This window comes from Homo sapiens, chromosome 7, assembly GCF_000001405.40.
Source record: "Homo sapiens chromosome 7, GRCh38.p14 Primary Assembly".
Lineage (NCBI taxonomy): Eukaryota > Metazoa > Chordata > Mammalia > Primates > Hominidae > Homo > Homo sapiens.
This window is the reverse complement of record NC_000007.14, coordinates 54,553,231-54,579,183: the sequence shown is the minus strand read 5'-3', so window position 1 is coordinate 54,579,183 and position 25,953 is coordinate 54,553,231. Positions and strand designations below refer to the sequence as shown.

The 25,953-nt window shown below is 37.4% G+C and overlaps 1 protein-coding gene and 2 long non-coding RNA genes across 8 annotated transcripts in view; 1 reads left to right on the top strand and 2 right to left on the bottom strand.

The window, feature by feature from the left end:
• The first annotated feature begins 385 nt into the window (after window positions 1-385).
• On the top strand, window positions 386-3,132 carry LOC124901635 (uncharacterized). Its single transcript, XR_007060326.1, has 2 exons — window positions 386-904; window positions 2,891-3,132. It is a non-coding gene; the product is annotated as an uncharacterized LOC124901635 (long non-coding RNA).
• Window positions 3,133-7,457: 4,325 nt separating this feature from the next.
• Window positions 7,458-22,214, bottom strand: VSTM2A-OT1 (VSTM2A overlapping transcript 1). The gene is made up of 4 exons (NR_038994.1): window positions 21,889-22,214; window positions 19,213-21,334; window positions 8,293-8,414; window positions 7,458-7,918 (listed from the first exon to the last, which is right to left on the bottom strand). It is a non-coding gene; the product is annotated as a VSTM2A overlapping transcript 1 (long non-coding RNA).
• The window catches only part of VSTM2A (V-set and transmembrane domain containing 2A), a 28,693-nt gene continuing 10,856 nt past the window's right edge, over window positions 8,117-25,953 (bottom strand). For 2 of the 6 annotated variants that reach the window (NR_133927.2, NM_001301009.2), the window contains one exon: window positions 8,117-10,053. Coding sequence is in view for 5 of the 6 variants with exons in the window: in NM_001301009.2 (NP_001287938.1) it covers window positions 9,965-10,053 (89 nt within the window). In the remaining variant the exon portion in view is untranslated. Of the gene's footprint in view, window positions 14,836-16,138; window positions 25,318-25,953 lie in introns of those variants that run through there. The other 4 variants (XM_006715665.4, XM_006715666.4, NM_182546.4 and 1 more) reach the window with 4 other exon arrangements.

Genomic DNA, 25,953 nt, shown 5'->3' with positions numbered 1-25,953 from the left:
TGTTTCTAAGCTTAATAGAAGTGTTTGTAGTGTTTAAAAGTTAAAAAGGTGGTCTGTTGTTAGTTTTAAATAGATTTAATTTCTTTTATTGAGAAAGTATCTTTCAAATTCAAGTTTATAAGGTTATTTTAAAAATATTTTAAATGTTATCGAATACTATTTATTGTCTATGGAGGTGATTACTATTTTTCTAGTGTATTGCAGTCTTGTACTATCTTGCCTAACTTCATCTTATCTTAAGTGTATACGTATGCTTGCTTGGGCTCAATGCCTGGGGCTCCGCCACACAGGGGCTGTTTTGGTTGCTACAACTGTTGAGTGACCAACTTGCTGATAGTAGAAACTGGCGCTGAGACCCCCACATTCCCAGGATGCTCTGGTATTCAGTTGGTGACACTGGATTCTCTCCATCATGGAGGGGGTGGGCCTTTGCTTGGGAAAACACAGGCTTTCTGCATGTGGGTTTTCCTCTCTATGATCGTGCTTTTGCCGGCACTATTATCCCAACATTGCCTCTGATTAATGTGCTTATTGCACAGAGGACATGCGTTGAAGGACTCAGGCCCAGAGGACTCACCATACTACACCTAGCTTCCCTCTCACCCAGAAGCAGCTAACCTGATGAAACAAATGCCCTGGCCTTGGGAAGACTTAGCTATATCCTAATTGGAGCCAACACCCAGAAAAAAAGAAGCACTGTCCTAAAGATAGTAGATGATTTGAATCAGCGTGTGATATGGGGTGCTGATTTTTCCAAAGCTTGAATATATGGGTCCAGGAATCAAGGACCAAGTGGGAGTGTTTTCTCCACTATTACACAAGATTTCTCACTTACAGAATTTTTATATTCTTCCTCTATCAAGCTCTACTACCTTTGGTTCCAACGGAAACATGCCTGTACCAGGTGAAAACACTAGTTTCATTTAACTGAAAGTGGAGATTACTCCCTGCCATTTTAAGCTTTATATGCCACTGAATATGCTGTAGAGTATCATGACATGTAACTTATATTCTTCTGTAGTTTTTTCATGTTTCATCTCTCTTCTTTTTTTTTTTTTTTTTTTGTTTGAGATAGAGTCTTGCTCTGTCACCAGGCTGGAGTGAAGTGGCGCGATCTCGGCTCACTGCAACCTCCACCTCTGGGTTCAAGTGATTCTCCAGCTTCAGCCTCCCAAGTAGCTGGAATTACAGGCACACACCACCACATCCAGCTAATTTCTGTCTTTTTAGTAGAGACAGGGTTTCACTATGCTGGCCAGGATGGTCTCCATCTCCTGACCTCGTGATCCACCCCCCTCGGCCTCCCAAAGTGCATGGATTACCAGGATGAGCCACCACGCCTGGCTCATCTCTTCTTATAAGTCTTAAAAATTTATTTCTTTCACTTTTTTCTTGACTTTATTACCCAGAGTTTTACTTATTTTGCTATTATTTGTCCAACAACTTTCTCCTATCTGTTCTTTAAAGTTTTTCCATTATATAGTTTATTATTTTTATCTTTATTATGTCTTTTTATCCTGTGGTTCATTTGAATAGTAATTGTTACCTTCTCAGGTTGAGAATATAATTTATACAATTTCTTTCTTGTTTGGAAATAAAATATTTAAGAACATACATTTTTCTAAAATTCATAATTATATATACAAAGCATTAATTTCTCTGTTTTAGTTTGTTCAGGCTGTGAAAATAAGAATACCATAGGTTGGATGACTTAATCAAACACTGACTTCCTATGGTTCTGCAGGCTGGGAGGTTTGCAGATTTGCTGAGGGTTTGCTTCCAGCTCATAGGTTCATAGTCAGCTGTCTTCTCACTGTGTCCTCACATGGTGAAAAAGGAAGAGGCAGGTCTCTGGTTCTCTTTTATAAGAGTAATAATCCCATTTCATAGACTTCACTCTCATGACCTAATTATTTCTCAAAGGCCTCAGCTCTAAATACCCTCACTTTAGAGTTAGAATTTCAATTTATGAATTGATGGTTCACAAATATTTAGTCCATCATAGTCATGGTGTAATTGCTTTATTTTCAGTGAGGCTGAAAATTTTCATGTACTGGCTATTTTTTTCTAGAAAAATTATGATTTGCCCAAATTTTAAATTACTGAGGTATTTTTGTTTATTGAAATAAGATTTTTAAAACTAGTATGTGAGGATACTGATTTTTGACAATTATGTATGTTGGTTTTTCTCCCTTAGTTTTACATCTTTTGATGTTGAATCTTTACCTACTTAAAATTTAGGTGCTGTACTGTCATTTACTCTTTTCTCATTTAGATTTTACTTTGCTAGATTTTTTTCAAAGAGTCCATGAATTATTCATTCATAATGCTGTAAATAGCCATAATTTATTCATTTTCTTTACTGCCCAGTCTTCCTTTTGGTGAATATACGACTTGCTTATATATTCTACTGCTAATGATTGTCATTTATGTTCTTCCTAATTGTGGATTAGTAAAATGTTTCTAAGAACAGTTTTGCATGGGAGATAGATGTGGGGTAATGGGCATCATTGTTTTGTTCCTCATTTCTGATTATAAAAGGAAAAATATTCCATGTGTCATAATTAAGAACAATGTTTGCTAACATTTTTAAAAAATACCCTTTACCAGGGTAAAGATGGATGTTTTTCTGTTCCTATAGTTTTCTAATCATGAATGGATATTGAATTTCATCAAATGCCTTTCCCTCATCTAATGAGATCTATGTATGCTTTTTTCTTTTATTCTGTGAATTGAGCACGTCAACATGTAAGCAAGTCTCCAGCTGCCACAATCTGCAGTTCTCCTCCTGAAGACTGTCCTGGAAGCTGCAGAAAACTGTTCTCTCTCCTCATAAGGCGGACTTGAAGTGCCTGGGTATTAACCTCTAACTTTCTTTTTTCCCTCCCAGGGCCAGCACCCTCGAACAGTGACTGACAGGAGCTGGTATTTATATATTCCAGATTCTTCTTTGGCTGGAGACAACCCTGAGGTGTGTGTTTCATGCTATCTGAAACCCCCGTGGGATTAAACTCCTGTTGCATGTAGTGGTAACGAGTTTGATAACACATTCTGCCTACATTTTTTTAATCTTATTTCCTCCTCCTCTACTGGTGGTTCCTGAAACTCTTAAATAAATTGATTAGACTCAAATTCTTGTCTTGTGTCTGCTTCTGGGGGAAATCCAGTCTAAGACTGTTGAGCATTTTATTGTGGGTTTTTCCAACTTTGCATTCCCGGAATAAACTATGTTTATTTCAAGTGATATATTATATATTGCTGGGTTTGTTCTGCCATTATTCTGTGGATGATTTTTGCACCTACATCCACGAGTTAGATTAACCTGTAATGGTCTTTTCTCTCACACTGTCATGGTCAGACCCTCTAGCAAGATAATGCTTGCCTTATAAAATGTATTGGAGAGCATTCCTTGTCTTTCTATTGACTGCAATAGTTGGTGAAAGACTGGAATTATTACTTCCTTGAATGTTTAAAGATATGTTTGGAGCCATCCATGGCTTCACATATTTTATATAGTTTTTCCATCCTGTAGAGTGTGTATATAAATACATAAAGGCCTCTAAGGTGCTGCTTCTTCCTGATCTCCAGATCTCATCAATAGGACATCCTAGGGGACGGTCAGGCTGACTAAATTATGGCTTAGATCTGGAAAATCAATGCAACTTGGAGGCAAGATTATAATGTAAAGGTACTTCCATCCCTTCCAGGTAAAAAAGCAAATAGAAAACAACAAAAAAACAAGCCAGACACCTCTTTTTAAAATTCTAACTGCAGTAAGGTAGAAAATCACCAAATTGTAGACTACAGGACAGGAGCCAGGAACTCTGCTAATTTGCTCCAGTAAGGAGCCCACATGAGGACCAGCAGCAACCACTGTGCTCAGCACGGAAGCAAGCCTGTGATGGCCCAGAGTGAGGACTCCGCTGCCCCGGGTACTGCCAAAGAAAGAGGGAGATCCACATTTCCTCCAGGGACAAGACATTGCTTTTTACTGACTATTTTGGTAAAGAGGAGAAATTCCCAGCCCCTTCATAAAATTACAGCCTTTACAGGACAGAGAACCAATGCAGACTTTCTTCCGTCTTTAAGGTATACCTTTCAACAGTATTTTTAGAAGCTGCAGAAATATTACACATGGGTATAGTGTTCTCCTAGGGCTTAAGGGGGTCTAAGTATTCTATTAATCACTTGCCCCCTAAATCTTTGACTAAGGCACTCTAGTGACCTCAAGATATAGTATTAGTTCTGAGCCATTGTCTGATCACACAGCGAGGTGTGAGTATTTCTTTTTCTCTAATATTCTCCAAAGGCCTCTCTCCATGGGAGGCTGAGAGTAATACTCCCAGTACACACAGGAAATATTATCGCTGGGGCCATTGGGCTCTTCAGTGTTGGTGCTCTAGGCTTGTAAACTCTGCTGGTGGGTTTGGATCAGGGGGTGTGACTTTATTGTGGTGGCCCAAAACTCTGCTTTCAATAACTGAAGAACCATTCTTATGAGGTTATACAAGCCAAGTGTGTCTTCAAGAAGGTTGTCCTTCTCTTTCCTCCCTAGTAGCCCCATGGGCCATGTACCATTCAAGGTTGGTCAGACTAGTGATTACCCAGAACTTCTTCAAAGTCTTCTGCTCACTCCCTGGGTACTCGGGATAGCACAGGTGGACTCACAGGCTGACATGCTACTCTCCAGTGCATTCCTCTAGCTTTGAAGAAGGAAATGTCTTCTGGAAGAGCCCATGACTTGTCACTAGGGGTTGAGGATAACTCAAAATAGGAAGGGGTTCAGAGGATCATAAGCTAGAAAAGAAGGACAGAAACCCAAAACAACACGCAAAGACCACAGACATGAAAAGCAGCCCCACTGCCTCCCAATGCCAACAAGAGTCACAATCACTTTTAGCAGGGGACAAATAATGCATTTTTTTTTCTTTGAATCATTTCTGACTTCCTGGCTTTTAATAACATAATAAGAGTGTAAAACTCGAGTTATCATTTTCTATGATATATTCTCATTTAATTATGCTTGCTATTGGTATTCTATTTTGGAATAAATACATCTGTGATTTTTATTTCAAATTGTAGGTTGCAAAACCAATTTAATGTTTTGTGTCAAGCATGAACAAAAAAAGAGACAGAACAAAATAGAAAATATTATAATGCACTGCATATACAAAATAAGGCTAAGTATTGTTTGGTGAAACTTGTTTCTTTTCACATACAGTGAGATACAATAAAATACTGAACGATTCTTTAGATTTAACACAATCTGGTGGACGGTTTATATTATCCCTATTTATTTTCAACCTCACCTTTGATTCCTATCTCAGCTGGGGCATAAAGCCAACATAGATTTCAAGAAGAGTAAATACATGCTATTCTTCTCTGAGGTTTAACTACCTCAAAATGGTCTGTTTATTTCTTTAACAATGAAAACATAACTAAGTATGCAATGATTTTATGACAATATTTCTCCCCTGTCAACACTGTAATCCATTGTCCTCTGGGATTTGTATTGTGGAGTCTAAGATCTAATTTTTTGAATGTCTGATAACGTGTGTGTGTGTGTGTGTGTGTGTGTGTGTGTGTGGTATATGTTGTAGCTCCTTTCCCTTCCTTATCTTTTTAATTACACTGCTTTCTCAGCACCTGTCTAGGAGTCAGTCTCTTCTTTCTGTCCACCTGCCCTTTCAATTTATATACTCATGCTTTTACTTTAAATTGCATTTGTAGTTATTACAACGAGTTCAGTGCCATCTCCACTCAAAGCAGTCCCAATCTTTCACTCTTTCCTTTGGCTCCTCAAAGTGATCAATTATAAAGCAGAGGTACTGATTGCCTTCAAGCTTCAGGTTATAGGACCTTAGGCTGGGAGCTGATGGCCCCACACAGCTGATCTTCTGGTTTTGTAATGAGAGAAAATGGAAGAATCTCTCTGGAAGGAAATTGAACACTTTAATAGTTCTGCCTATCTTTCTTTGCCAGATCAATTGTAAGTTAGCACTAAAATGTCTCTAGAGTTACTAGAGACATTCTAACTCTAGAAAGTTACAGTCTCTCGTGCCTCCTGTATCCCTGCCATGTCAATACAAAGGGGCAGCCTGGCTGGAGGACTCAGTGCTGTGCCCCAAGGAGTTTTGCTAACAAGTTAGTTAAGCACCAGAAGAGGTCAGGCTGGGGAGAGAGCCTGTGTCCTGATTTTGGAAGTCATTCACGTTGGAATTTCCACACAGTCCTGCTCTGCCCTGTGCTCTCCCCTTGGCGTGGTCTTGTCTGAGGCGCCCTTGCCTGATGATCTTGCCTCTTGCCACTCTCCCCACACTTAATGTTCTTGTCCTCTTTCTTGTCTTTGAGCAAGCCTAGATGGACTTCGCCTCTGGGGTTTTGCACAGGTCCTTCCCTTTCCCTGGAAGGCTCTGCTCCCAGATCTCTTGCTGGGCTTCCTATCATTCAGATTTGCATAAACATCACCTCCTCAGAGCAACCTCCTCTGACCTCCTAGTCACACCCCTGTATATCATCCTACTGGGTTTTCTTCTTAGAATTTATCAGTATCTTATGTTCTTGCTTTTGAATGTTTATTGTCTGTCTCTTCTTAGATCTAGGGAAGAGCCTTATCAATTTCATTGCTGAAACCCTGAAGTCTTAACACTTCCTGAAACACTGAGTGCTCCCATAATTAATGAGCAGTTCCGAAAATAAAATTACTTGGGCCTAATATTTGAAATTATGTGCACACACATTTTTTAGCTTCATAGTCTTAACTCCAAAATACAATCATCAGAGTTTTGTGTGTTATCTCAGACAGGTTACATTTACCTCCTGCAATTATTTTTTCTTATACAAACTAAGTTATGTTTAATATTTTTACTTTAAAAAAACAGGATAAATAACAGAATCACTTATTTGAATGGCATCTACGTATCCATTGCAAAGTTACATTGCTAGTCCTGAAAATTCAACCAACATCATCCTGTATCATTAGTCCATGCTGTTTACAACAAATTGCAATGATTTTTTTTCTGAACTTAAAAATGTGGTTTTTTTTGTACTCCCCCTGTACACACCCACACATATGTGTGTCTTAACATACCTTCCTAAATTATATTCAAGAACTTTAAGGCAAACCAGTTCAAAATTATAACTATCAGGTTTTCTTAGATGCTCAAAATCATCTAAACATTATTCTTTTAGGCAAGCAAATCATAATCAAATCACTCAGAATCAATGAATTGATTGGCCGTATGAAGGACCACCTCCATAAAACAGATATGCAAAAATATACATGGAATTCCAGTGGGTTCATGAACTCCACTAAGCTTATTTACTAACCCTGACTAGCGGCTTCTGCTTTAAATAATTTTTATCTTATTTTATTATTTTACCCTCATGTGTTTTCATTTGCATTATTTTATTGCAAGCAATTTATAAGTCTTTAAGAAAGAACAAAAGCATTCAACTTAAATTCAAGTAAGCAATTTTAATATTTTAGGATTTTCTCTTATGATAAACATTACATAACCTTGGAAACAAGGTTGAGAATGTCTGATAACTTATTTTTAAATCTTTATTCCTATTCATAGTTATGGTTATTTACAAAGTTATAGTCGCAGAGACAAAATATAAGGTTAAAATCTCTGAAAGATCTCCTTAATTTGTTTTAGTTTCCGTTCCAATTTTTAAGGTTCCATATTAACTTCTTGAGTGTGAAGCAAATAGTGCACCATGTTCTTTCTCAAAGTAGCCAGTGAGTTGGACTCTTGGTGGCACAGTGACAGATAAATCTTCATTATTTTGGACACTGATACAATGAGCCTAGTAGCTCATTCCAAACTAGCATACGTCTTTGATTATGAGCATGGTAAACATTGCTGATACAGGTACAAGTCTGTGTTGCTTCAGAAATGACCAATCTCATGACCTAAATTTTGAGTAAAAGTACATTACATGTAGATTTTTCCCAACTTGACTGAATTTGAAACAGTATACTTACTTATGCTTTAATGTATGCAATCTTTAAGGCCCAGATAAATTTAATAGATGGTGTTTATCTTACCATTATTTTATGCATTTTTAAGTATTAAACTTTGAAAGAAAATACATTTCTAGGTTAATAAAATAGTGCAATCAAAACCTTTATTAATTTTTCTCATTAAACTGAAATGATAAACCAAATGAATGAGAAAAGTGGCAGTAAAAGATTTAGCATGAAGTATTATTTCTCAGGTAATGTCAAGAATATTATGAAAATATATACTTGCTTATAACTGAATCAAAGAAAATGAATGCATTTACCTTTGAAAAGCAGAGGTACTGATTGCCTTCAAGCTTCGGGTTATAGGACCTTAGGCTGGGAGCTGATGGCCCCACATAGCTGATCTTCTGGTTTTGTAATGAGAGAAAATGGAAGAGTCTCTCTGGAAGGAAAACTTAGGTCATTTATCTCTCAAGCTTTATCTATTCCATAATGTATATGGAACACTAATAGTTCTGCCTATCTTTCTTTGCCAGAGTAGAAAACAGGTTCAAAATAAAATAGTCTGAATTATCATAAAGACATAAATAAGAATGGAATATTTAAAATTATAATTCACTTAACCAGTGAAAACTGAACACATTAATCTTCTTTAGTCGGGGACCTGCCATCATCTTTTGCATATTGTATTTAGCCAACAACCAAATTTTAATTTTTAATTAGGAGACATTAAAATATAATTAGCGCAAATAACAGAATGACAAAGGTAACAGAATGACAAAGGTACAGAAATTCATAAAGGTCAAAGGAAGCAGCATTTTTAACCATAGCAAGAAATGTTCTAACATGAATTTAGGGAATTATGGTGAGTGCTTCACCTTCCCCACATTCGCCTCCTAGGCAAATTTTCTAGAAGCAACATTTCTATTTGACAAGATTATAATGATAATAATACAGAAATAGCTGTCAAAACCAGACAGTGTACATTCTTCACAGTCAAGAGACTCTCAAACCTCAATAAACACCATGTATAAAGGAACATAGTAAATTCCAACTTAGCACAGACATAACAAAATTAATTCATCGATCAGAGACTGATACAATTTTGAATATGCACTTTCCAGAATGAAGCAGAGGACAATAGAGACCATCTGCAGCTGTCAAACCTGTGGAAGTGAAACAATGAATTACAAAATTCACGCAGTGTATGAATTATCAACGAAAAACAAATGCTTCGTCAAAAAAAGTTGGTCATTGGCCCAACACACAGATATTCTTAAGTATATATTTATATATATAATGATAAAAATCAGCTTGCATGAGGGTCGCAGTACATCTACTTTGAAGTTATAGCACACATACTATAAGCAATTTACAGAATTTATCAGGTTTGCATACACAGGAATTGCAAAATGAATTAAAATACACTGAAATATAGAACACTCAAAATGTAGTTCTATAAACCTCCTAGGATTGACGGAGATTGGCCATAACCAGCACTTGCCACCATTGAACAAGAACTGTAATCAAGAAAAAGAAGAAAAATCCAAGAAAAAAAGGGGAAAATAAAAAAATTTCTTTCTCATGTTATTCCTTAAAGTAATGTCCTCCTTGTTGACTTGCAGTGTTGATAGTTTTGTTCTTCCCCTAAAAAGGGGGTTTTGTCTGATGATAGCTTCTGTTCTGTAGCCTTTTGATCTCTGTTTGCTTCCTGAAGATGCTGGGTCCTTTAGTAGGAAATTAGTGGTATCCATAGTAAATATTCCCTATCCTGATGACATTCAGGCCAACCCTTGAGCAGTCAGTGAGATGATTTTAGTCGCCGAAAGAAAAGGGAAAAAATAGATCTTGCTATTAGAAAACGTTCTATCACTTCACGTTAATTCTCTTAAAATAAAAGATCAGTGTTTTGCCAAAGAAAATATGATCAACAAAGCATGTGATAGCCTCTTCATTTATGCTTCCGGAAGCAGGCGCTCCTTGTGTAGTGAATTAGAGTACAGTGGGTGCAGGGTGGTGCTTGGAGTTTAGGGTCAACTTTGCTGTCCGCTCCGTAGATTTTACAGGCGATTTGCTCTTTGCTTTAAGAAGAGAAAGTGATATTGGAAAAAAGTCAGCACTTTAGATTAAAGCAAAGCACCCTTCACAAAGCCACAAACAAGAAGCAGGACAGAAAGTCCATGGCTTGTAGCTATCCTCGCACCTGCGGAAGAAGTTATAAGATATTCGCTCATCTTGAAGATTTCCAACGCTCCTTATTAGGTTGTTTTAAACACATACATATATATATTTAATTAGCTCGCCAGCTTGGCTCTGGTGCTCATGAATGTCTTGGCATGCACTGCAAACAACAACACATACAAAGGATTTCAGTCCCAGGAAGTTGGTGTTGTTTGTTTTGTCTGTTTTCAAACAATGCCACCCCACGGCTGGGAACACTGAGAGGGGCAAATCCAGATACTTTTCCCTCAAGTAATTCCTTGAGGATCATTCCCTGAAGTCATCTGGTTCTTCCTATACTGGTACCTAAAAACACATCTTTTTTTTTTTCCTACTGCATGAGCATAAATCCACAGGGGATATGACACAACCTAAGAACAGCAGGCTCCTCAACGAGGGGCAAACTTGTTCTAGGGTGGGTGCATTTGGGCATTTACTTTTATAGTGTTTTTTTTTTTTAATCCTCGAAATCTTGGAGAAAGTTAGTGCTATCAAGAATTGGAAACTCCTGAAAGAGCTCTAAGACTATCTCAGGGAAGAAATTGTAGTGTTGCATTCTTTTCTTCATATATTTTATTCAATAAGCTTCTAGCTACAAATGACATATTGAATAACTTTATTAGTAAAGAACAAAAATGTGATGAGGATCAAAGCATTACCTTCTTTCATTTTTAACTGGAGAAAGATTAAATGTGTTCGAAGGGGGTAAGTGTGGGGAAATGCAATCTTTTGAATACTTCATCTAAATCATGTTTGGGTCCACACTGACAATGATAAAAATTGTGGTAGAACCCCTTGTTCTCTAAAAGTCACTATATGTAGAATAAATATTTGGGGCTTCCAAAGTAGCCATTTAGTAAACTCACATTACTGTATTTCTGCTAGGTTACTTTAGTGTTGTCATTGATTTGCCTTACTGGTAGGTGGGCTATATATTTACCAGTATACAGTATCTCCTCACAGAAACCTAGTGACTGGAGAAGACCCAGAGGTTAGTGATGGGGCTCTGCAGAGTGGTCCTCTATTCAAGCTGGGTGACAAGTTTCAAAAAATGCAACAGTGATAGCTCAGTTCACGTGCAGTTCTAAGTACAGAGATTTTGCAAGGAAAATGTACACAATCTATGGAGAACCAATAACATCAGAGCTTTCCAAAATTAAACACGTATTCTCATTATCTTTTGAAGAGAAACTCTTTGACAGGGATTCATTTAATGAAAAAAAAAAGAAAGAAAAATAAATTATTAAATGCTTCCCCAAATAGGCAATAGTACTTGATTTCACACAAAGTATGTCTGGTATTGAATACAAGTTTTAAAATGCTGAAAGCAAATACAACGTGGTAAAATAATTCACTATTTAAAATGTATTTTGTGAAATATTGGTTTTCTTTTCAGCATGGGCATTGCAGATTGGCTCGAATTTGTTGAAACTGCACCATAATTTATGTCATCCCTTTCTTAATTAATCAACCCTTCATAGGACATGGCTGACCCCATTAGCCCATTGAGATATTATGGAAACAGCTGCTTCATTTTGATGCAGCATTTCCTATCATACTATATCCAGCATGTGCAAGTTAAAGCATGATTTACATGAGTATTATAACTAAAAAGAAACCCAATTATGCAGTGTAAAGAATATTTTGAGGCTACTAACATTTTGAACTTCCATCAGATATGTAATATACTATTGAAGCATAGTACTTTTGTTTTCAGATTGTAATCATTCAACCACTCTAAGTACATGCATTTACTAGCATATTTTTAATTAAATACAATTCATTTTCGCCAGGAAAATTACAAAGATTTTTTCCTATATAGTAAATTCTAAAGCAAATCTGTATTGTCATCAAATCACTGATTGTGTTTCTCTCCTTTCTGTTTTTTATTTATGTCTTGAATGAAAAGATATGTACTTCATCTTTGTAGGCCCAAAGACTTTTAGAAATGAAATCTGAGGATCTAAAATGCTATAATTTGTCCTGTGTAATTTTAACAAATAATCATCATAGTCATTTTCATTCAGATTTATACTAATTACATAATGCCATTACTTCTTATCAAACATGTTATGGTTTATTGTATGGAAATATTAACTTTTATACAAGTAAACCTCAGCCACTCTGTGCTCATTTTAAAGACAGAAATGCTTTTCTTTTGTGAGACACGCAGAGCCAGGATTGCCGTCAGGACCGCTGAGTTCTGATTTCCTCTGCTGCCACTCACTTTTGAGATATTAAATGAGATACTATTTCCACATGTTTCCAAAAGTGAGCATAATAACTGTGTAGAATTGTTTTATTCTTGTCATATTAGTATGCCAGGTATTGCATTGTGATAGGATTGCCTATTTTGTTTTATTTGGTTTCTTTTGCTCTCTGCTGAGGCCAAGCAGGATAATGTTTTCCCCTTAATACAGTCACACATTTAAGCAACTATTGCCCTCAGATAATTGCCTGTCCATTTATCTGTTCCTAATAGCTAGTTGTAATCTCTCTCTCCTCTGAACTTCAGCAGTATTTTCTTTTGCTAGGTTCTTTACCAGGCCTACATTGTGTGTAATTAATCATATTTGTATCTCACCTCACTGATTATGCTATTAGCTCATTAAAAGCAAGGAGTAAAATTTTTTGCAAGTTTAAAAATTACTTTCAATGTGTACAAGGACTCGAGAGTTTTCAAACTTTACCCCCAACATAAAATGCTCTGTGAAGAAGAAAGGAAGATGCTATTATCTAAATTATGTGAAGAAAATTTACAGGCAGCAGGTCTAGATGAAGAGAGGCCTAATGGGACCTAGAGGTTTCTCTTGGACACAGAATGCCATTTCATAACGTCCTTCGACATCTATTTAATCATGATGCCTTTCATTTGCTTTGTTTTTATGCTTGAAGATTTTCATAGTGCTCTTGCGACTGTAATTCCCCCGTCTTTGTAAGGCAGAGGAGGTGTTTTCTCCATTTTGTAAATGGAAGAGTCTGAGAAGTCTTAGAAGTCTAAGCAGGGCAGAAACTTGGCTTCCATTTCTCATCCTTTTCTCTTCCTCATGCAAGAGTGGTGTGGGCCTTGCCTCCCCAGAGATGCATCAGGCAAGCATTTCTCAAGAGAGTTGACAAATGAAAGCCCAGCCAAGGAGAAATATGGAAAAACCCTTCCAGATATTAACTTCACTATCGTATGATTTCAGAGAATAACAGAAATTCCATATATTTCATTACAAAAAGAAAGCAAAATTAAAAACAATCAAAACATAGTAGTTGAGACCTTGGCAGCCTCGCAGTCTGGCGGAAATGGTGTGAGGCTGCCCCTCCCTCCAGTGGACTGCCTGTTGCCAGCCAGACAGGGCCACTGCCTGGAGAGGTCAGGGCCTGCTTCCGCGTCACTGCCTGAGTGCCACCAGCTCCTGTTCTCGTGCCTCTTGCCCTTTCATGCCCCTCTCATATGTCTGCCAGGTAGAAGTGCTCAGTTGCCTTTCAGCACCTTCCTTTTTAGTTTAGACCTCCGTCTGTGCTACCATTTTTTCCCTGCATCTGCAGTCATCAGGCTGGGAGACAGTGGGCATGCTGAACAGTGCTGCATCCCTCCGCGTGCCCACACCTTGCCCTCCAAAACGGCTGAACCTATTGGGGACCTGCTAGGTGCCAGGCAACATGCAGTAGGCACTGTGCCTCCATCATATTGGTTAATCCTCACAACAATCCTGTGTGGCAAATATGCAGATCAGGAATATGTAACCCAGCAAAGTGAAATAACTCATCCTAGCAGGGAGTCATGCAAAGACAAAGATATGAAGAAACAGCAATGTGGTCCATCAGCACAGAGCAGAAATCTGCCGCTTTCGGAAACCACCTGAGGCAAGCAACCTTTCTGCAATACCCCACATTTGTTAAATTGAGATGTGCAGCTATCATTTGAATGTATACTCATCTTTTCAGAGGAAATGTACCACATATACCATAGTTCACATATAACATACTTCATACTTGATATAAAACTTAACTTTTCCCCAACTCTGAACTGATATTGGATATGAAAACATTATCAGCCTCTTGGTTTTTCAACGCATTAATAAAATGTAAAGCTTCTTTGTTCTTTGTAATGTACCAAATTTCTTACGATATAACATATTTTGAACTTTTCATAGCATAGACTTTTACAGCTTACAAAGGTTCCTCTGAATTCTTTTAAATATTCATTTAATACCTGGCTCCACTATTATTTTAGCATTCCTTCTTCTTTTCAAAAACCTCTTTTCCAAGCTTTTTATTCAAATTTGGTAGTCTGGGCCCAGGAAAGTTTACATTGATGGGTCAAAGTGCCATCATTAGTTAGTGACAGGGAGAGAATGAGAACCAGAGCTCTGGGCTCTAGGAAAGATCCCAGAAGAGGATGTGGGTATTTAATTCAAGGCGCTGAGTGGAGAAAACTAAGTAAACAACTTATTCCATGTACATTTGATAAGTTCTCCAAATATCCACTTTCTCTTGGCTTTGAATATTTTCTGATGGATTAATTTCCTGTGTAAATACAAGTTTAGTTGGCTTAGATAGGGGGCACATTCAGCATTTTCAGGGCATCGTTCTGCAGCATTAGGCGTGATTCCTGATCAGCTTTTCTCTTCTTTCTCTTCTTGTCTGGGTATCTAATGTAATCAAAAGGAGCAAGAAAAAAGAAAGAAAACATTTTCTACCCCCACTCGTCACCCCACTGTGGCTGCATGGTCTGACTCCAGAATCTTTGTTTTGTAAAAGTGAATATTAGTGAGGCTCATAACAACAAACCTAAAAATGGAAATCCTCCAATAGTAAAAGTAGCAACAGTCAAATACTTCTCTGTCTGTGAAGAAGGCCAGCTTATGAAGAACTGAGTGTCCATTACAGCTCTTCGAGTAGACGCGGCCCTTCAACATATTTCTCTTTTATTACAGATGCCAGCTTCAGAAATGAAAATCGCTGTGTGAGAAAAACTGAGCTAGCTTCTAATGCAATTTTTATTCAGGTTTGCACATACTAAATCACTGTTTAAGGGGAAAGGTCAAATAATAGAATGATTTTATCCCATAATTTTTTGAGAAGAATATCTTTTTATTAGAATGCTTACATGTCCGGTGCCAATTTCTTCTAGAAATCTGTTTTTTAAAAGAAATGTGCTTCACTTTGACCTAATACATAAATTGCCTATTTTGTGTGCCCTGGCATGCTGGTAGCAGCTGTTTAAATTCCCTTTCTTGCTTTCCTTTAGTCAGCAGATTTACAGCTCTGTTCTAGTTATGAGGGCTCTTACCGTAGCTGAGGGAGAGTACAGTTGCCCACGAACGCAGGTCTACAGGACAGGGTGCATGGGTGCCACTCCATTCACCAGAGACTGTTCTCTCTTGTTGCTTAGAACCCTGCTCTGCAGCTGTCAGACCTTTCTACCTCCTGCAGCTACTGAAGAGTGGATGCATGCACACAATGCTGCCTTCCTCCTGCTGGGGACACTGCACATCTGAAAACAGCACATTTTCATGGTAGCACACCCATTCAAGCAAGAACTGATTTTGTGCAGATGGGATGATGGTTATGATAGAAGCTGCTAATAATTTTGAACACTTACGATTTCTTTACCTCTGGCTGTGATCCCAGGAGGTAATCATAATCATTTTACTGATAGGGAACTGAAGCTGAAGGGGATTATGTAACTTATTGGAGTTTATTCAACTAGTAGGTAGTACAGGTGAGACTCAAATCCAGTTTCTGTTTGACTCTAGAGCTAAGATGGTACAAATATTTGCATCATAATTTCATCTGGCAATTCCTCATATCTGAAAACTTTATACTTTCCTAATTCTGCTTATTAAAAATATATAGAGATATGAATGGCTTTGGCAAAATCCAAAGGAGAACAATATAAATTGGTGGAAAAACAAACAGAAACCTTTCCAAGAACGAAATTCTAATACCACATATATTTAATAACTGCTTTAATGCATAAATAAGAATGCTTTATAATTAGCACTACATTTACTGATATATAGACAAGTGTTGCTAAAATGCTTGAAACTATTTAGTCACAGAGTTTAAAAATGCTTCCTGACTGTCTGCTTTCATTATTCGTTAGCATTCTCTTTATTAATCACGCATAGGTAGTTTTAATCCAAAATTTATTTGAATAATCACAAATTCCATATTAGGAATTCCACATGTGGTTTTGTTGCCCTGATCATGAATGGTGCTAAATTTGACTAAGGGTTTCAGAAAGTGTATTGAAGTTGGGGAATGCAATGGAGACAAATGGCATCCATGTGCACTGGTGTCCTTTCAGCGATCATGCACCCAGAGCCCTTCCCCGGCTCAGTCAGGACAGCTTGCCCTGAATTAGGAAGCCAACAGAAGTGCATCACAGCTAGTATTATTGACTACTAACTGAAAAGGGCAGAGAAAAGAATAACTCGTGAGTTGAGGAAACAGAGGTCAGTTTGGCTGAATATCTGAGAAATCGCTCATCAGTTGGTGAAATAAAGAATACCTCTCCTTATCCACGCCCTCTTTGAATGTTTCTATAGACCTCCATCACCAATACTGTCAGAGAAAAATCTCTCATCAAAGCAGGAAAAACAACTCATAATTTTAAAGAAATGGCAACTGAGGAACTCAGAGTGAAAAAAATAGAAGAAAAAGAAAGAAGGGAAGAAACATGGCTCCAAATATGTGATTTCATTTTCCACATATCTTCTTATGTAAATTGAAAAATAAAGATATAGCCATGATTTATAAATATAAAAACTAAAGGCTGGGAGCGGTGGCTCACGCCTGTAATCCCAGCACTTTGGGAGGCCGAGGCAGACAGATCACGAGGTCGAGAGATCAAGATCATCCTGGCCAACATGGTGAAACCCTGTTTCTACTAAAAACATAAAAATTAGCTGGGCGTGGTGGTGCATGCCTGTAGTCCCAGCTACTTGCGAGGCTGATGCAGAGAACTGTTTGAACCCGGGAGGTGGAGCTTGCAGTGAGCCGAGATCACGCCACTGCACTCCAGCCTGGGTGACAGAGTGAGACTCTGTCTCAAAAACAAAAAAAAACAAACAAAAAACTAAAAAACTAATTTTTATGGTTCATTAATGTCTGACTTTGAGGAAGGAATTATTGGAGGACCTAATGTCAATAGGACCTACAAAAGCATAAATTACATGGCTTCAGAAAACTCACCTGTTTTAATACAAGGAAAATGTCTTAAGATTTTACCCATATATTTTCCAAGTTTGAGCCAGTGGCCTTACCCTTTTCCTTAATTTAGCTATTTCAAGTTTTCTTAATTAGAATGCTTTATTAATTATCTTCATTAGTAGAAGTTATCTTCTTAGCTATCAGCATTAAGTAACTAGAAATATTTGACGCAAGATTTTTAAAATTCACATCTCATTTATCAAGATATACAAATAAAAGGACAGAAGTAAGCCATTGCCTGGAATTTGTTCATCAAACTTCCCAGACATAATTTGTCATTAAATATCATTTTAAATAAATTAATATTATCATCACAAATACATAATGAAGGATGGTCCAAGGGCTGTTTTTTAATCTTTTCTGACCATTGCTACATAGGCAGTCTGGAGTTGTTTTCTTAAACGTTCACCAAATTACATTAAACTTCATGTATATTCTTAGCAGTGGTATTATCCTCAGAAGTGTTTTGCACTATACATAAACCAAAACGTAACTTTCTATCCCTAAACATTTAACTCTAAGTACATGCTAAACACAATGCTAGGTGCTGCAATGACACCCAAAGTTCAGGACACAATTCCTATCTTCACAACCCTTATAATATTTTCAGGTAGTTTGAAATAGAGTGAGGTTTTAAATTCTAAACTTTTTTTTTCTATTTAGTGGTTGTGATTCTACAGCTTAATCCCTAAATGTAGGATTTTTCAAATTAACTATTTACAACGCTAGAAGTTAGAAAATTGCCTTCATAGCATATGGATTTGTTTAATCAGAAAAACTAAAGATAAAAGATTATATACAAGGCTGACGAACAGGCTCCTCAGGGTGTGTCTGTAACAGAAGCCATCAAAATGAAGCAAGAAAAACATTGACTCATAACAGAGCCCTTCACTGCACAGTGCTTGATACCTTTACATTTTAAAATTTGAAGTATTTCACTGCATTATTTAACTTCATTAAAATGTTTGTCTGTGAAGATAATAAAATTGCTTAACTTAATTTCATCTTTAAAATTTTCTCTACAGCTTCATATTTGTCAGCTTCATGGAATAAGAAATCACAACTCCTGGATTTTACTATTTGCTTTAATTCAAGCACTGTTTCACCTATATTAGGTATGTTTTATACCTATAGGATTCTGAATTCATGCAAAAATGCTCTCTCAGAGTCTGTTGTGAAGCAGTTGCATTAAGTAAAACATAATTCTCATTTATAAATCTTCCTGTGTCCGATTTCCCTTGATACTCCCAATGACAATGCATTGCTCCTCACTTTCATCTCCCTTGGAATTGGGGGTTGTGTGAGTCATCTCATTGACAGGAAAAATGATTGCATGATATTTTATTTGCTTGTATGTGTTTGATTTATTTAATCAATATGAATTCATCAAGATCACACCTATTTGCTTAGAAAAACAAGACTAACTTGATGGTCATGTTCTCCACCCAGCCTCCAGGAAATAAGATATAATAAAATACAAAGTTCCTAATTTCAATGCTACTAGCAATTTCTGAGTACCGACCATTTTCACAACAGTACTTTGGGTACATATATGTACATGTGTAGATATTTTTAAGATTTTGTCCTGAACTCTATAATTATACACCATTATTTTACTTTGCTTCTCTTTATTTGTTGAAATATTTTATGTGTTTGCTAATTTATTTTCTCTCTCATGAGACAACTGTTTACCATTTTTTAATTGGAAAAAATTTAAATTTTCTTTTTCTGCTTATAACAAAGTAATACATTATCATTGTACAAAAGTTATAAACAAGCAAAACAATAAAAAATTAAAAATCATAACTTACATTGACTGCTGTACATTTTCTTTTTTTCTTTTATTTTTCTATGCACATGGCTCAGACTGATTTAAAGTTCTGTATGCTATATATTTTTTCACTTTAAAGTTTTGTATCCTATGTTTTTTCACGTGATGTCATGTACTGAATCCTTTCTAATGTCTCCAAACATTCTTTGAGAAGATGATTCTAGAAGCTGCTTGATGTTCACTGTATGCTTTAACACATTCACTAGGTAACTTTCCTTTTGGTCATCTGTGTATTTCCAGGTGTATGAAAAACTCCATGGTAAGTATTGCAATTCATGACTCGCTATGATATCCTTGGAATTTCTTCTCAGAAGTATGATTTCAGGGACATATGGGCTGCACAATCTAAAGGCTTGTGAGTACTCTTCCCTGACAAATTTTCCTTCACAAGGGAAGTACTGATTCACCATGCCAGTGGCAATGTAGCAGAATGTCTGATTCACTGTAACCTTTATGATGCTTGTTGATTTAGAAAACTTTTGCCAAGATTATACCTATCAATTTTTTTTTAATGAGAAGGTGTTTTGACTGGGACTGCATCAAATCTATAAATACTTCTGAAAAACCTGACAGATTTGCAATTCTGAGATGGGCCATCCAAAAACATAGCATTGTAACTCATTTATTCAAACCTAAACTCTCTCAATGAAGTGTTTTAGTGGTCTTCATATTCATACTACTTATTTGCAACCATACTTTGTAAAAAAAAGATTATATATTTTATATCTTTTACTTGTTGCTACTATTGAGGATTCAATATTATTCCTAAAATATTTTCTATTTTGGTATTGGAGTTATGTAGAAGGTTGACCTAAGTTTATACTTTTATCTTAATTTTATTCATATTATATGATCACTTTTAATATCTCTATTACGACTGATTAGGAGTGATTAGGAGTGGGTTACATAATCACAGCATCTGTAAATATTGACATTTATTATTTTCCTAAGTATTAGACACAAATATTTCCTTGTTTGATGCTTTACTTTTTAGTTACATATTATTTACTTAAATAAAATTTTAAAGTTATAGCAAAATATTTTCACTTGCAAATTATTTTGTAACTTTTAACCTTCAAAGCCACAAGTATCTTATTTTATGCTAATCTTCCTATATTTGATTTTTCTTTCCTGCTTAGTTCTTTAACTGGCCTTCATTTGGATATATATTGTAAACTGTGATCATATGTCTCCTTTTGGCATTATTAATTAAATAGGTCCTTCTTTAACTGTTACATTTTTAAATTCATTAGATATTATTTTGTATAATTTTCGAGCTTTCCAGGCTTGTTTTTATTTTCTTTAATATCTATTCATATTTCTGTTTCTTTATTGTCCTCTTAAATAATAGTTATTTTGTAGCATATTTTCCTATCTGGTAGGTAAAGAGGTAGAGAACTAGGCATTGCTGAGCTCACTCACATGCTAGGTTTACTCTCCTAGATTTTTAAAATCCATTATCTCATTTAATGCTAAAAATGACCCTTGGCAGATAAGTATTACCATATCAGTTTTATACATAAGACTTTAAGCTTCAGAGAGATTTTGTGAGCAGCTCACCCAAAGTAACAAGCTGGTAGATAGCAAATCTAAGAATCAAATCTGTATCTACCTGGTACCATAAACTATGAAATTTTCATTATTAATTTATATTCCTATTTTATTTTTGTCTCTTTTTAAGGCTTTATATAATATTCTAACTTGTTTATGTTTTCAGATGTATTGCTAATTACTTTGTGATTTTAAAAACTCAGAAAATCTTTTTTGAAAGCTTGAATTTAATTAAGATGAACACCAATTTGTATAATTATGGCTTTAGAATACCTGTTATTTATTCAGGTTGCAGTTTAAATTCTTAAAAATCCTTTGGAATTTTATCATGTTTTATAATACAGATCTAGTTACAACCTTGGGCAAGACAGCTGGTGGCTAATATGTTGTGCTTATTTAGAGGAAAATTTATCATCAATTAATGGCATTGTGACAGAAGAAAAAAAAGCAAGCTCTGAAATTATAAATCATAAAACATAAGCCAGAAATGGAGATCTAGTCTTCCTTCCTCAACCCATCACTTCCACACAACCAGCAAGGAAGATATTTGCCTAGAAGAACCAGGTGGTAAAGACCATTAACTCTAATCATTTCATTGCTGATAATTGTATATAAGCATATGCAATAATAGTCATATTATTACAGCAACTAGTCACCATTCATTCAGGGATTATTAAGTGTCAATCTTCATATGTACATCATTTCCTTCAATTGTCAAAACCCTGTGAGGATTATAGTATAGTTCTCATTTAAGGAATGAGGAAACAGGCCGGGGACAGTGGCTCATGCCTGCAATCTCAGCACTTTGGGAGGCCAAAGAGAGGGGATCACTTGAGGTCAGGAGTTTGAGACCAGCCTGGCCAACATGGTGAAACCCTGTCTCTACTGGAAATACAAAAATTAGCCGGGCGTGGTGGTGCGCACCTGTAATCCAAGCTACTCAGGAGGCTGAGGCAGGAGAATTGCTTGAACCCGGGAGGTGGAGGCTGTAGTGAGCCGGGATCACACCACTGCACTCTAGCCTGGGTGACAGACAGAGCAAAACTCCATCTCAAAACAACAACAAAAAAAAAAAAAAAAGAAAGAAATGAGGGAACAGACATACTGTGCTGTGAGTGATGGAGCTGAGATGTGAAGCAGCCTTCCTCTTTAACCGCTGTGCACTAGTGCCTCTACAAATGAGTAGGCAGAGCCAGAGGCAGAAGGTCTGAGGAGTGTGTCCCTGCTCATTTACGCCCCTTCGCTGCTCAGATGAAGGCACTGGTTCAGCCTATCAGTGGCAGAAGTGGTCCTTGGAAGAAGGAGCTCTTGACCTTTCTTGCTCTTTTAGGGTGTGTGTTATTGTGACCAACAGAGTGAAGCCTTTCTAGCAAGTTTTCAACACTTTGGCCATCTAGCCAGGAAGCTGCTCCTCTGGTGGCTTCCTGAAGTGGCAGACATCATGGAATCACTTGAGACAAGAACTTAGAACACTGGCAAATTCCGTTTCATGTCTTCTTAATTACAGAGGAACTAGTAGTCACAAGCAAGCCTTCATGTGGCCAGTTATGAATGGAAAAACCCATCCAACCTTGATATCATAGGCCCAAATAGTTCTGAACTTCAATGAGTAAAATTAAATATGGTTTGCAGGAGAATTTAACCAGTATAGACTCTTAATCTACATAATTCTGGTTCAAATATAGCCCTAGCAGATTCCTTGGCCTGTATTATCCAAATCATTCCCTTATATCTATTTTTGTCTTATTCATAGACACTTGATTTACATAGTTGCCATTTATATGATAGAATTACAATGATTAAATTAATTTAACCTGTGTAAGCAGCCAAGTTGGATCATTTAAACAAAAATCAGCGGTAAGGGCTGAATTATATGACTGACTCTACCTCAAAGCAGTGCACCATTTACTCACATATTAAATGAGACAAGCACTCTCCCTGCAAAGACCCTCAGTCCCTCATCTCCCTCCTCCCAATGACTTTGACATCCTGTGTTAAGATCAATCCTGCTGAAAGTGGCCACTCTTGGCTCCTGGCAGCTGTTGCAGCAGCTGCCTCTTAACAGTCAGGTTCACATCATGGTGAACACACAATAATTGTATTTCATAGTTCAGAGAATCAGCATTCCTGCTGAGCTACTACAGACTCCACACACGGAGACACAAGTACCACCTTCACTGCAGCCAGTTTCCTTACAAATACCAGCTGTTGATCACAGCAGTGAACAGCTTCACAAAAGTCCATCCCAACATTGGAAACAATAAGAGCAACAGAACAGAGCCTCTAAAAAAAGTATTTTGTAGCATGACACAGATACACATACAGATATATATCTCATAGTAAATGATAAGAAGAAAATTTTTTTACCCTGAAAAACTTCAAAAAGCCAATGATTCTTTTAACTTTTGGAACATAGAATACTTATTTCTGGTTCTACACTCAGAGATGCTGATTCAGTAGGCACTGGGTGGAGTTCTGGAATATGAATTTTTAATAAGCTCCCTGATGAGTCTGGCATAGGTAGGCTGCACAACTCACTTTGAGAAACACTGTTTGGGAGTCTTGATCAGTTCTAGAGTAGTGGTAAAATTATCTAATTATGAAAACATAATTATACAAAATAATAATAACATGAGCCCCACTTGTTCAGGGCACATAGAGGAATTGCAGAAACAAGCTATAGTATTTGTAGCCAAGAAGTTATAGTTAGGGTGATAAACTGTCCTAGTTTGCTTAAAACTAAGAGGTTTTCCAGAATGTGTGACTTTGAGCACTAAAGGTTCAACAATACAAGGCACAGTTAGGGCTTCAAAGTAAGTATAAACAAATTGCTGAGAACTTGATGAGTAACCAATTCTGACTAAGAGAAAAGGAGAAAGCTTTAACAAAGGAGTTTGCATTTTTGTAGGAACTCAGCAAATAGGAAAAGACTCATACAAAGGAAACAGCATTTGCAAAGCCATAGAGGTAACAAAATATCTGAAAACATTCAGGCAATACCAAATGGAAAGACTGAATGAGATTAGGAACTCAGAAGAAACAAGGCTGGAGTTAGACTACAAAAACTAATGTTGGCACTTTGAAAAAAATAATCATTTCACACATGCTCTGTTGTGATACGTCCCTTGTATTAGAGTTAAAACAAGAAATTCTTTTTGGAATAGATTGGATTAGATGAGGAAAGTGAAGAGGGCCTGTGTTGACAATGAAACCAGTATTGGTTAGAACAGAAAAGACGCAGCTTCTCAAGGATGTTTTAGGGAGACAATTACTAGGACAATTCAGTGTGGCAGCTGACAGAAGAGATGAGAACATTTTCAAGGCTTCCTCAAGACCAATGACTGTGATAAATGCTATTAAAAGAGTTTGGGATCATAGGAGGAAGAACATTTCTTTTTGGTGAGAAAGCTAAGATAAATTCAGTCTTGAATATTTGAGTTTTAGATGTCTGATCTGGGTATCTATCATGAAACAAACCTCACTACAACCTAGTGCCTTAAAATGACAGGAGATCATCATCTGTCTCTGTTCTGCGTGTTGTCTGTACTTAGCTGGGCAGTGTTTGCTTGGGCTCCCTCATGCTGCAATGAGACAGCCACTGGAGCTGTGGCTGGAGGAAGGCTGGGGTGACTGGCTGCCCAAGGCTGCTTCCAGGCTCGCACACCAAGGTCCTTGGCTGGGCTTCACTCAGTAAGGTGGCTGCACTGCTTCCACAGTGGCTGGCTTCCAGGAGGGCTCAGCAGGTGCTGCCAGCCCCTGTAAAGGATAGGTCTAGAATTGGCACAGCTCACTTCTTCATACTTTATTGGGCAGAGTGGTCACAGGCCAGCCTATGCTCAGGGGAAGGAAAATAGGCTTCAATGCATGGGATGGAGACAAGTGTGCAGACATCCTTACTCTGCCACAGTTTTTGCAGGATATATATGTAGATACTTTGGGGACAAGAGTGAACATGAGTCTGGATCTACAGAAATGAGTCAGAAGTACAAAGGTGACTCGAACAATTTCCTAAGAAAATTTAGCAGTCAAAACCATGGAAGTGGATGAGAAGATCAGGCAGTTGACAATGGGAAAAGAACTATATTTAAGAGAGGAATTTAGTTGGGGAGGAGGCCAATAAAGGAGAGAGGAGAATGCTAGGAGCCAGTAAATAGGTGACCAGCCTGCAAAGAGAAGAGAGGTAAGAGTGTCAGGAAGGAGTGATCGAGGGAGAAAGGCTGCCTAGAGACTGGGAAGGACGAGATGTGAGAGGGTGGGGAATTGGAAGCAGGAGACACCAGTGACTTGCATGACAGCTTTGGGAGTGCGAGCGACCTGGGCAATTTACCTGGAGGAGCCAGCACGCAGCTCTGCACACCAGGGGTTGATCCATGGCCAGGTTGGGGAAGAGGAGCAGGAAGCCGCTTCACAGTTCTGTGTGACGTTGGGAAGGTGGGAAGGGGGTCAGTAGAAAAAAGTGAAGACAGAGAGAAGAAAGGAAGGACTAGTAGAGGTGGTCTGTGGAGATGTTTGACTTCTGGAAGGATTGGAGACACTGGATGAGACAGGAAGAAACAAGTAGAGAATGACTTAGTATATTGGGGTATTTGGGGGCATGGTGGAGGGGCGTTGAGTCCTGTGTTCTCTGCGAAGAGGGACCTAAACCACTCCATCCTGGTCAAGATCCTGGGACTTCCACAGTCAGTTGTGCTTGGTGCCACCCTCCTCTCTGAAAGGTCTTTCTTCTCCATATTTGCTTGTATGAACTCTCCCTATCCTCCAAGTCCCTTCTTCCAGGTTGCCCTCCCTGACTCCTCCAGCAAGAAGCAGGAATTCACCTTCTCAGAACATCTATAGAACATTTCTTCTGCTTCTAACTCTATGTATTGCTTTCCTGATAACATCATATTTATTGGCATCTTCTCTTGATAAGCTTCTTGCAAATAGAGCCAAAAAAAGTGGGCAGAGGAGAGTGGGTTTGATATGATCTAAGGTGGTCATGGTACACAAAACTGGAGAGTGTTCAGAACAATTGAAGACGGCAAACTTCAAAGGGATTGCAAAAGCCAAGTTTTGTTTATCTGTTTGCCTAACCGTTTTGCTTCATTATTTTGTTTTAATTGCTGATTACTAAATGGAGGTAGAATTCAAATAATTTTACAAGTGAAGGATTCACAAAGATAAAAAAGAA